Raw genomic sequence first — 13464 nt, 5'->3', positions numbered from 1 at the left:
GAGCCTTCCACTAAGGGATTAATTAGAGATGTGGGCGGGGTTGTGGGAACCTACCAGGGATGGGACCCAGCAGGGCTCACACTACAGGAAGCCATTACAACCCATAGACCTGAAAGGGCAAGAGGAGGGAGCTCTCATCATGGGAGGGGACTGCCCAGCTAGAACTGTGGCCATGCTTAGAACACCCCCTGCCAGAGAGGGAGCCGGGGAGGTTGGGGGTGGACAGCTTTCATCCTGATGGTGCCTCCCACTGGCGAGTCCCAACTGAAAGCCTGAAGAGAAGGCAGCCAGAGTAGGTCAGCCCTTCATCGAATGGGGAGTGTGGATGTGGAAGGGAAACAGGAGATCCAAGCAGGGCTATTCCTTTTACCCCTCAGCACCCACTCTTGTCCTTTGGGTGAAAAACTCATGTCCCTATTGCTTAATGGTTGCAGAATTTCTGTTTGGGATGATGAAAAAGTTTGGGAAATAGGTTGTGGTGATGATTGTACAACATTGTGAATGTACTAGATACCACTGAAGTGTTTGCTTTAAAATGGTTAGTTTTATGTTATGTGAATTTCATCTTCTTTTTTTTTTAATGGAAGGAACAATCTCATCAACACCATCAACCTTGTCAGATTCACCCTGGTCTTGTCATACTCACCTGGAGCAACAGGGCTTTTTTTTTTTTTGAGACGGAGTCTCGCTCTGTTGCCCAGGCTGGAGGGCAGTGGCGCAATCTCGGCTCACTGCAAGCTCCACCTCCCGGGTTCATGCCATTCTCCTGCCTCAGCCTCCCAAGTAGCTGGGACTACAGGTGCCCGCCACCATACCTGGCTAACTTTTTGTGTTTTTAGTAGAGACGGGGTTTCACCGTGTTAGCTGTGTTAGGATGATCTCGATCTCCTGACCTCGTGATCTGCCCGCCTCGGCCTCCCAAAGTGCTGGGATTACAGGCGTGAGCCACCATGCAACCGGCCTCTTTAAATAAGACAACGGGGCATGCAAATAACAGAAAATTGCTACAGCCCCCACTTTGGCAGCTGGTCACCAGGCCCAAGTTAGCAATCACAGCATCCTTCCTCCACCCCCACTTTCCTCTAACCATGTGCCAGCACTGTGGCTGACTGGGGTTTTTATAGGTGGGGTGTCCTAAACCTTTACTCCTGTGCAATGCAGCCTCTTCTGGTCTTATGTTTGTTGGATTGTCACATTTCCCCTTCACTGTCAATACTGGAAGGGGGACTGGGGGGACTGAGGCACCTGGTGAATCCCCTCTTTTCTGTCATTGTCTTCTGCCCTCCCCACATTGTGTAGCAGGAACTTATTTTCCTTCTGGCAATCCTAGCTGATCACCCTGTCAGGTACAGAACAGTTGACCCTCTTCTCCGCCTTTTAGTTAAGCAACATACAGACCTCAAAATGACCAGGGGAGAACACTCTACTTCCAATTCTTTTCTTTTCTTTTTTTTTTTTTGAGACAAGAATCTCGCTGTGTCACCCAGGCTGGAGTGCAGTGGCACGATCTTGGCTCACTGCAACCTCTGCCTCCTGGGTTCAAGTGATTGTCGTGCCCCAGCCTCCCGAGTAGCTGGGATTACAGGCCTGCACCACCATGCCCGACTAACTTTTGTATTGTTAGTAGGGACGGAGTTTCACCATGTTGGCCAGGCTGGTCTTAAACTCCTGAGCTCAAGTGACCCACCCACCTCGGCCTCCCGAAATGCTGGGATTACAGGCGTGAGCCACCGCGCTCAGCCTCTACTTCCAGTTCTAAAGGAGTCATATCCACATTCCCTGGAGGGAGTGTTCCTCTTTTGAGCATAAAGCTCACCCACTGAACACAAAATTTAGGGCACAGGAAGCCAAAACTCTTCCAGTGGGTAATTGGGAATAGTGGTGAGAAAAGCTACTCCCATATCCATCCCTTGGTCCCTGGGCCTGTGTATTTTGGCTGTCAAAGAGGTAGGACCGTATATTAGCCATTGATTTCAAGCGTGTGCTGCTTCCTACCCATCAACAGCTCAGCTGCGGGGGTTGTCTCCCACCTGGCGCCGTAACTCTATTCTGCCCAGTCAGCTTCTTCTGGTTGCAGGGCCTGTTTTAAGACCAGTGTGTTCTGGGCCGGGCACAGTGTCTCATGCCTGTAATCCCAGCACTTTGGGAGGTCGAGGTGGGCAGATCACTTGAAGTCAGGAGTTCGAGACCAGCCTGGCCAACATGGTGAAACCCTGTTTCTACCAAAAATACAAAAATTAGCCAGGCGTGGTGGCAGACACCTATAATCCCAGCTACTCAGGAGGCTGAGGCAGGAGAATTGCTGGAATCAGGGAGCGGGAGGTGGCAGTGAGCTGAGATCATGCCACTGCACTCCAGCCTGGGCGACAGAGTGAGACTCCGGGAAAAAAAAAAAAAAGGAAAGAAAGGAAAGGAAAGGAAAGGAAGGGAAGGGAGGGGAGGGGAGGGGAAGGAAAGGGAAAGACTGCTCTCTTCATGACAGGGGGTCGGTGTAGTCAATCTGCCAGTGGGTGACTAGCTTGCCCCCTTAAGTGAGTCTCACCATTTTTGGTCTCAGGAGTCTTTTACACTCTTAGAAACTTAGGATCTTTGAGGATCCCAGTGGGTTTTTTTTTAATGTGAGTTATATCTATCAGTTTTACTGAATTAGAAATTAAAACTTTATTAATCAATTTAAAACTAATAAACCCATTCCATGTTAACATAAGATTTTTAATGAAAAATAACTTTTTCAAAACAAAATTTGTTAGAATAGCATTTGACATTTTGGCAGGTCTCCAGAGCTGGCTTAATAGAAGACAGCAACATTCTCAAATCTTCAGCATTTGATCTGTTGTATGCTTGCTATGTAGCCCATGGGAAATTCCACTCTACACTCAATGACAGTGAAGAGGGCAAATAATGTCTTAGTATTAATATGAAAATAGATTTGACCTCACAGAACTCCTGCAAGGGTCTTGGGGACCCCCAGCGAATGGTGCCATGTAGGAAACTCAGCTTGGTCTTTGCTGTTGGACAGCTTGGCACTCAACGATGCCATTGCCGTGTCAGATCTGGTGAGGGAAATGTGTTGAGTCTATGTGTATTAGTTTTCTGTGGCTGCTGTAACAAATTATCACAAGCTTTGTAGCTTGAAACACTATTTTCTGACAGCTCTAAAAGAAGTCTGAAATGCATTTCCCTGGACTAAAATCAAGGTGTCAGCAAGTCTGCCCTCCTTTCTGGAGGCTCTAAAGAGACTCTTGTCTGCCCTTGCCAGTTTCTAGATGCCCCCTACCATCTTGAAAGCCAGCAACATCTGGTTGGGTGTTTCTCACATCACATCACTCTGCCTGACTCTTCCAGATTTAAAGACTTCTTCCGGCCAGGCGCCGTGGCTCACGCTTGTAATCCCAGCACTTTGGGAGGCCGAGGAGGGCAGATCACCTGAGGTTGGGAGTTTGAGACCAGCCTGACCAACATGGAGAAACCCCGTATCTACTAAAAATACAAAATTATCTGGGCGTGATGGTGCATGCCTGTAATCTCAGCTACTCAGGAGGCTGAGGCAGGAGAATCACTTGAACCCGGGAGGCAGAGGTTGCAGTGAGCTGAGATCGTGCCATTGCACTCCAACCTGGGCAACAAGAGCAAAACTCTGTCTCAAAAAAAAAAAAGACTTCTTCCACATTGTGATTACGTTAGGCCAACCCAGATAATTCAGGGTAATCTCCACCCCCACCTTTTTTAAGATGGTCTCTCTCTGTTGCCCGAGCTGGAGTGCAGTGGCACAATCATAGCTCACTGCAGCTTCCATCTCCCAGGCTCAAGCGATCCTCCTGGTTCAGCCTCCCAAGTAGCTGGGACTACAGGTGCACACCACCACACCCAGCTAATTTTTTTTTTTTTAAGTAGTAGAGATGAGATCTTCCCATGTTGTCCAGGCTGAGTTCCCATGTTGACCTCTGAGTTCAAGCGATCCTCCTGCCTCGGCCTCCCAAAGTGCTGGGACTACAGATGTGAGCCACTGCACCCAGCCATAATCTCCTGATTTTTAAGGTCAGCTGATTGGCAACCTTATTCCATCTTCTGCCTTAATTCACCCTTTGCAGCTGGGCACAGTGGCTCACACCTGTAATCCCAGCACTTTGGGAGGCTGAGGCGGGTGGATCTCTTGAGGTCAGGAGTTCAAAACCAGCCTGGTCAACATGGCGAAACCCACATCTCTACTAAAAATACAAAAACTAATCAGGCATGATGGTGGGTATCTCTAGTACCAAGCTACTCGGGAGGCTGAGGCAGAAGAATCACTTGAACTCGGGAAGCGGAGGTTGCAGTGAGCTGAGATCACACCACTGCACTCCAGCCTGAGTGAGAGAGCAAGACTATGTTTCAAAAAAAAAAAAATCACCTTTTGCCGTGTACCATGCAACATATTTAGTTCTGAGGATTAGAACATGGACATTTTTGGAATGCTGTTACTCTGCCTACCACACTACACATAGCCAGTCATCCCTGCCACCACAGCATGTATATAGGCCCATTAAACAAGAACCAGGGTAGCTGGGAATAGAAGTTGCCATCTACAGGATGGGTCATCTTGTCCACCTGATTACTGAGGGCTTCTCCACAATAGATGCCCTTTCAGGGTACTTGCGTGTGTTAAAATTAGCTTCACCACCTCTGCCCATTTCAAGCAGCCCATCCGTATTTCTCTCCCTTACACCTGCTCATCACCAATCTCTCAGTCTTGTGATTTGTAAGCCCCCAGCCAGCCCCTGACTTGTTAGCCACTGCTCATGAGCCAGTGTGGATCTGCCTCTCAGGTCATCTTTCCTTCCGTGCAAGTGGATAATCCACACAGCCAGAGGTTCTGCTTGCTGGGACAGAACCTTCATCGCTGTCCTGCAGGGACACCCTGAGTGTGGCTATAATGCAGTAGCTGTCTCTTTGTAGTTGTGCTGAGGTACCATGCAGACTCATTTAGAAATCATGTCTGTGCTTTTTCCGCTGTGTTAACTGGTCATAGCAACTTCACCAAGTGTGGGTAGAGAAAGAAACAGTGAAGCAATAAGGGTAGGTATCCCGGGAATTTGAACCACCCGCTCATGCACTTTCTTTGTGCCTTCTGGACTTGCTCAGACCTGATCTTATATATACTATTCAGTAATAGAATGCCATTCCTAGTGCTGGCAACTGGTTGACAGAGGGAGAGAAAAGAAAAAGAATAGAACACTACCATGCATGTCCAATCTTACAATCAGGTGGATCAGATCACATCTACTTCTGGTGGCGTGGGTCACTTGGTGTCCCACAGTCAGGCATTCCACCTTCACCGTGTCTGGTTGTGAACCAGGAGCTGTTTTTTTTATTTTTTTGAGACAGTCTCGCTCTGTCACCCAGGCTGGAGTGCAATGGCGTGATCTTGGCTCACTGCAACCTCTGCCACCTGGGTTCAAGCGATTCTCCTGCCTCAACCTCCTGAGTAGCTGGGACTACAGGCACCCACCATCATATCTGGCTAATTTTTGTATTTTTAGTAGAGACGGGGTTTCACCACGTTGGCCAGGTTGGTCTTGAACTCCTGATCTCAGGTGATCTACCCACCTCGACCTCCCAAAGTGCTGGGATTTCAGGTGTGAGCCACTGCACCTGGCCGGGAACTGTTTTTTGTTTTGTTTTGAGACAGAGTCTCGCTCTGTCACCCAGGCTGGAGTGCAGTGGCGCTATCTTGGCTCACTGCAAGCTCCGCCTCCCGAGTTCATGCCAGTCTCCTGCCTCAGCCTCCCAAGTAGCTGGGACTACAGGCGTCCGCCACCACGCCCGGCTAATTTTTTGTATTTTTAGTAGAGACAGGGTTTCATCGTGTTAACCAAGATGGTCTCGATCTCCTGACCTCATGATCCACCCGCCTCAGCCTCCCAAAGTGCTGGGATTACAGGCGTGAGCCACCGCGCCCGGCTGGGAACTGTTTTTTTAAACGGTGACTAGTTATTGGTAGAAGACAGCATGACTTAATCCCAAACCTAATGGTCAGTAACTGTACTGTGATTCTCCTGTTGGAGCTTTTCCATACAGCATCATCTGCTACAGTCACTTCCAAGTCATAAGCTCATGTGATGGAGCTTGCTCTGCAGCCTGGACCTGCTTCAGAGCTTTACCTTGCTCCACGCCTCACTCAAAACTTACAGTCTTATGGGTTTTGCAGTAAATGGGTAGAGCAGCACAGCTGAATGTGATATATGTTGGCTCAAAAATCCAGAGTCCCATAAAAGATTTTGCCTCCTTATTTGTAGTGGGCAGTATAAGGTGCAGCAACTTGTCTCTCCTTTTATAGGAAATATCCTGACATGCCATGGCCCCCACCACTGGATCTTCTAGAAACTTCACTGACATGGCATGTCACTGAATTTTTGTGGAGTGTACCCCCTTCAGTTGGCATAAAGTATTTTACTAAGAAACTAGAGTGCTTGCAATGGCCTGCTTACTGGGGCCAATTACCGTAATGTCATCAATGCAGTGGGCCAGCCTAATGTTCTGAACTATGTCAAGATGATCAGTGACCCTTTGGACTAGATTATGATTGACATTGTGAGAGCTGGCAAAGCCCCGAGGCAACAGAGTGAAGGTGTACGGCTGTCCCTGCTACACCAAGGCACACTATTTCCAACTATCTTTACTTGGTGAAATAGAAAAGAAAGCATTTGGGGATCAAATGCCACCAGGCCGGGGGCCGTGCTGATTTGTTCCATTAACAATCTCATGTTTGGGACCACAGCTGCAACCGGCATTGCACCTAACTTTTTTCGGGGGGGGGGTGCTTTTATTTGAGATGTAGTCCCTATCACCCCTTGGGACACCATGATTAGCCATGGTGCTGATCCATGAGGGTCGCTCCTTCCCTGGGCTTTATCGTAAAGAACCTGGTCTCCAAGGTTAATTGGCACCCTCGGGCCTCCCCCACGGCTGGGTCTGAATGTGGTATAGGTTGCCTCAAAAATCCAGAGTCCCATCAAAGATTTTGCCTCTTTCTTTGTAGTGCGCAGTCTAAGGCTCAGCAACTTGTCTCTTCTTTTAGAGGAGCTACCCTGACGTGCCCCAGACCACTGGGTCTCCTAGAAACTTCCTTGATATGAAGTCCATTGAGTCAGGAAAGCAAGAAGCCAGATTGCATTTGGCATGTCCTACATTATCTCCAGCCTATAGAGGAGAACTAACGTAGAGCTTTTGGGAACTGTGGTGAAGGGGTGCCCTTCTCCCTCTGCCTCCCTCCACAGCTTGCCAGGGAAGTGCCAGCATCTCAGCTTCTCTGTAGGCCACGACTGGATCCAGGTTGCAATTCACCAGCTCAGACTGGTAATCCCACTCCAGGTACTCAAGCCAACACAACCCCCAGTGCTGGGTGCACACCTGTGTCACTCATTTGGCCTGATCTAATCTTTTTTTTTTTTTTTTAAGAGACAAGGTCTTGCTATGTTGCCCAGTCTGGTCTCGAACTCCTGGGCTCAAGCGATCCATCTGCCTCAGCCTCCCAAAGTGCCGGGATTACAGGCATGAGCCACCATGCCCGGCCTAATCTCATATTTTGTCTTCCTTAATCTACCACCCTTGGATGCAACCCAGACTCCTGCCAATACAAATTGTCAAAGTTCTGCAACTCCTTTAATGTATAAACTCTCTCCTCCTGGGATACACCTTGTCCTTTTCTTGACTGGGCTCTATGGGGATATAATTCTCATTATAGGCCTGGAGGAAACGAGAGGTGATGGGGGTGTATCCTGGGGTGCATCTTCCCTGGTGAGGCAACCACTTCAAGTGAAGTCACTGAAAGATTTCTGTGCTGGGAAAGACCAGTTTTCTCAGACTGAAGACAAGGGGTGCTGCCTTTACCAACAGGGAAGATTCAGGAGGTGCTGGTGTTCAAAGTTCTATCCAAATGTCCCCATCTTGGGATCTGTTCCTTCTTAACCAGTGCCCTTCCCTTAGCAGAAGAGACTGAGCGAGGTTGTGCACTTAATTGGCTCCGCGACTCTGTGATCCTCACAGTCAGAGCCTGAGCTTGGTTCTCAGCCCCATCTGCCCTGTGGCTGGCAGAGACCAAAGATACTTTCAGAGCCACCCTAGGGCCTTTCGGAATCTCCAGCCTTGCACTGAGTCGGGAATTCAAGGCTTTCAGTCTGTTCCTTTGTGTGTGTTTCTAGGGCAGTCAAATGTACAGTCAGAAGCCCACGCCACAGTCTTTGTCACTATTTCTTAGTCATTATTGTCGTCATATTGACTAAATGCCATAGCCACTTGATCTCCCAACATCAAGCCACCACTGGTCATAAAGTAACTAACTGTGATGCCACTGTGTGCCATAGATGACCATTGTCCATTACCCCATGTCAAGGAGGCTATTCACGCACTAATCAAGAAGCATGAGCAACCCAACCCCAGAATCCCTTCCAAGGATCTGTCTCCCAGAGCTATTCTGGTACCAATTATTGCAGCAATCAGGGCCCTGGGTGGAAACAGATGGCACATTCAAAGGGGTATTGTGGGTTTGATGAAGGGACTCTTACAAAGTGCTGGGCAGAGTTAAAGGAACCAAGAAAGGCTGGTGAAGCCTGAAGGGTCTGCAGCAGCAGGAAGCTCTTACCAGCCGGGGAGCAGGGAAGGTCCTGGAATCTGGTGAGAGCTGGAGCCTGGGGAGAGGTCAGCCTCTAGGCCCAGCGCAGAATGGAGAAAGGTGAAGAGGGCACCTGGACTGGCAGGAGGAACATATGACCCAACACCCATTTTACAGATAAGAAAACTGGGCTGGGTGCAGTGACTCACACCTGTAATCCCAGCACTTTGGGAGGCCGAGGCAGGCAGATCACTTGAGGTCAGGAGTTTGAGACCAGCTTGGCCAACATGGTGAAACCTGTCTTTACTAAAAATACAAAAATTAGCTGGGGCGCATGCCTGTAATCCCACCTACTCAAGAGGCTGAGGCAGGAGAATTGCTTGAACCCAGGAGGCGGAGGTTGCGGTGAGCCAAGGTCGTGCCACTGCACTCCAGTCTGGGTGACAAGAGTGAGACTCTCAAAGAAAACTGAGGCTCAGCTGCCCCATGCAATTTGACAGATAGGTCCAGAGCACCTGCTGTGTGTGTGTGTGTGTGTGTGTGTGTGTGTGTGTGTGTGTGTGTGTTGTGTGGCGGGGGGTGGTGTGTGTCTGTGGTGTGAGGTATGTGTGGGGTGTGTGTTTGGTGTGTGGTGTGTGGTTGTGTGTGTGGTGTTTGGTACGTGAGGTGTGTGTGTGGTGTGTGGTGTCTATGGGTGTTGTGTATGCTGTGTGTGTGTGTGGTGTGTGTGGATGTGGTGTGTGTGGTGTGATATGTGGGGTGTGTGGTGTGTGTGGGATAGGCGGTGTCTCTGTGTGTGATGTGTGTGGTGTGCAGGGTGTGTATGGGGTGTGTGGGGTGTGTGTATGTGTGTAGTGTGTGGTGTGTGTGGTATGTGGGATGTGTGGTGTGTAGTGTGTGTGGTGTGGTGTATGGATGTGGTGTGTGTGGTGTCTGTGTGTGTGGTATGTGGGGTATGTGGTATGTGTGTGGTGTGTATGTGTGGTGCAGTGTGTGGGCTGTGTGGTATGTGGTGTGTGTGTGGTGTGGTGTGTGTGATCTTTGTGGTGTGTGGGGGTGGTGTGTGAGGTGTATGTGGTGTGTGATGTGTGTGTGGTATGGTGTGTGTTGTGGTTGGCAGAATTGTAAGATGGCCTCCAAGATTCCTGCCTTTTGTTGTACAAGACATGTATAATCCCCTCCCCTTGACGGTATACAGGCAGAACCTGTATGGTGGGATATTGCTGTGATTAGGTTACATTATATAGCAAAGGTGAATATTGCAAATATAATTAAGGCCCCTAATCAGTTGACTTTGAATTAATCAGAAGAAACTCATCTTGGTGGGCCTGACCTAATCAGGTGAGCCTTTTACAGAGCGCTTTACTGCTGGCCTTGAAGGAGCAAACTGTCCTCTTGTGAAGGGGGTCACATGTCAGTGAGCAACTGGTGGCCTCTAGGAGCTACGAATGGCCCCTGTTGGCAGCCAGCAAGAAAGTAGAAACCTCAGTCCTCCAATTGCAGGAAACTGAATTCTGCAACAACCAATAAGCTTGGAAGATGACCCTGAGCCCCAGCTGGGGTCACAGTCTGGGCTAGTTCCTTGATTTCAGCCTGGTAAGATGCTAAGCAGAGGACTCAAAACATGCTGGGCTTCTGACCCACAGAAACTGTGACACAATAAATGTGTTTTTTGTTTGTTTGTTTGTTTGTTTGTTTGTTTTTGACGGAGTCTCGTTCTGTCACCCAGGCTGGAGTGCAATGGCACAATCTCGGCTTACTGCAACTTCCACCTCCTGGGTTCAAGAGATTCTCCTGCCTCAGCCTCCCAAGTAGCTGGGATTACAGGTGCGCGCCACCACACCTGGCTAATTTTTGTATTTTTAGTAGAGACGGTTTCGCCATGTTGACCAGGGTGGTCTCAAACTCCTGACCTCAGGTGATCTACCCACCTCAGCCTCCCAAAGTACTGAGATTACAGGCATGAGCCACCACGCCTGGCAAATGTGTGTTCTTTTAAGCCACTAAGTTTGTGGTAATGTATTACACAGCAATAGAAAACTAATACAGCCATTAGTTTACTTTTGTTTTGTTTGTGTGTGTGTTGGGGGTGGAGAGTGGATATTAGAAATGTTTTTAAAGTGGTGGGAAATGACCCAGTAGAGAAGGAAACACTTTGATAAAGTAAAAGAGGTAGAGATTCAGAATCAAGACATTCTGAGGCCAGGCACAGTGGCTCACATCTGTAATCCCAGCACTTTGGGAGGCTGAAGCAGGAGGAGCTCTTGAGTCCAGGAGTTCAAGACAAGCCTGGGCAACATAGAGACACTGTGTCTCTACAAAAAACAAAAGACAAAAAAACATAGCCAGGCATGGGTGGTGGCCCATGCCTGTGGCCCCAGCTAGTCAGGAGGCTGAGGTGGGAGGGTCGCTTCGCCCAGGAGATTGAGGCATGATTGCACCACTGCACTCCAGTCTTGGTGACAGAGCGAGACCCTGTCTTAAAAAGAAGGAGAAGGAGGAAAAGAAGGAGAAGAAAGAGAAGAAGGGGAAGAAGAAGGAGGAGAAGAAGAAAAGAAGAAAGAAGAGAGAGAAAAAAAAGACACCCTTGAGAGAAGTAGGGACAACATCTCCAAAGTAGGAAGAAGCAGATGGGTTTGCAGATTTTGTGGAGGAAAGATGAAAAGGTGTCTGTGTGACTGAAGGCATTAATTCTCTCAATAAATAGTCAGGCAAGGTTACCAAATCAAATGAGAATGAATCTAGAAAGGGAAATAGGAAATTTGAAGAAAGAGGAAAAGAAGTGAAATAGTTACCTTGAGAAAGAGGAGAAGAAAGAAACTGTTCGTGTTAGAAAAACAGTAGAGTTTTCCGTGTCGAGTCCCTTTGATGTTTGAGAACAGTGGCACTGCTCAGCTCAGCTGTACGAATTTGTCAGTGATCTTCAGATACTTGAGTGCAGGCACCAAGACAGATGGGTTTTGCCAGGCAAATAAGATGAAGTCAAAGAGGGGTTATGGAGTTCCAGGTATTGGCAAAGAGATAGTGATAATGATAAACCATAGACCCTAGAAGAGACCCAAAGAGAGGTTAAGACTGGAGGAAGTTGAGAACTAGGATTAATGTACTGGACATATCCCTGGACGGGAGCATTATTAAATGGGTCTCTGTTAGTTGGGGATGAGGCTAAGGTGCTGTCACAAAGCTGTCCCCAAATACAGCAGCTTCACATAAGTGTTTTTTTCTCATGTAACGATCCTGAGATAAGTGGTCCAGGTTGTTGGGGCCACTGTGTGCCCTGCTGTCATTCAATGCCAGGTTCCTTCCATCTCATTGCTCCTCTGACATCCCCTAAGGTGTCCTCCTAATTTTCATGGTCAAACCATGGTCCGTGTTTAAACCACGGGAAGGAAATGAGCATGAAGGAGAAGGCACCTAAATTCTAAAGCCTGTAGTTGGAGGTGACACACATCAATTCTGCTCACATCCATTGCCAATAACTTATGACATAGCCCCACCCAGCTGCAGGGAGGCTGGGAACTGTAGTCTCTAGGTGGGCAGCTAAGTAACTCTACTGTTTATACAAAAGAAAGAGAGAATAGATTTTGGTGGACACCAAGCAGTCTTTGCCATAAAGGGTATTTTAGCAAATGAGCATGATAATTGCAATATGTTATCTTGTAAATTTATTTAATAATTCCCCTGTTTTGAACACATTTGCCTATTATAACATTTTACCTATTATAACTAGTTTGCCAATTGACATCTCAGTACATAAGCTTTAGGGAGTACAGTTTCTGGTAAACATCTTCCTAAAAACATCTTCCTGAAAATCAATGACCAGCTAATAATGAAATCACCAGTCAAACGTAAGTGAAATGAGAGGTAAGCCTGTTTTTTCCTGAGATCATTTGCTAGCCAGGTATACAGGGGCTTCAGGTTGGGTGGTCTCACAAAGTCCAGAACTTAACCAAGAAGGAGAATCTGATATGAGACCCCAAAGTGTCATACTCTCAGAGTAAGGGTGAACCAGAAGAAACCAATCCCCCACCCCCAGGGGCCTGCAAGGAAATATGCCCTGGTGCCACAAAGAGCAGGAAGAAGACAATCAGATATCTGAGAAGTTGCATCCTGACACTACCCCTTATGCAGAATCGCACAAGAAACTCACATCACCTCCCATGCTCTACACATCTTCAAACTGTGAATTCAGTTGAAAATGACCTCGGGCTTGTAATGCCCCTAGTACCTGATAGAAGCAAATGCAAATGTTCTCTGAAGGAATGCACCATCATCCTCAGCCTCAAGATTTCAATAAATTATGTGTTTTAAAAATGCAAACTGGGCTTTTAAGAGACAGGGTCGGGGCTGGGCCTGGTGGCTCACGCCTGTAATCCCAGCACTTTGGGAGGCCAAGGCTGGTGGATCACCTGAAGTCAGGAGTTCAAGACCAGCCTGACCAACATGGAGAAACTCCGTCTCTACTAAAAATACAAAATTAGCCGGGCATGGTGGCACATGCCTGTAATCGCAGCTACTCGGGAGGCTGAGGCAGGAGAATCGCTTGATCCTGGGAGGCGGAGGTTGCGGTGAGCCAAGATCGCGCCATTGCACTGCAGCCTGGGCAAAAAGAGCAAAACTCCGTCTCAAAAAAAAAAAAAAAAAGAGAGAGACAGGGTCGGCTGGGTGCAGTGGCTCACGCCTGTAATCCTAGCACTCTGGGAGGCTGAGGCGAGTGGATCACAGGGTCAGGAGTTCAAGAGCAGCCTGGCCAAGATGGTGAAACCCCGTCTCTACTAAAAATACAAAAACTAGCTGGGCGTGGTGGCGGGAGCCTGGAGTCCCAGCTACTCAGGAAGCTGAGGCAGGAGAATCGCTTGAACCTGGGGGGCAGA

This window comes from Homo sapiens, chromosome 1, assembly GCF_000001405.40.
Source record: "Homo sapiens chromosome 1, GRCh38.p14 Primary Assembly".
NCBI classification, from domain to species: domain Eukaryota; kingdom Metazoa; phylum Chordata; class Mammalia; order Primates; family Hominidae; genus Homo; species Homo sapiens.
The sequence above is the reverse complement of the archived record's forward strand: the minus strand, read 5'-3'. Positions refer to the sequence as shown.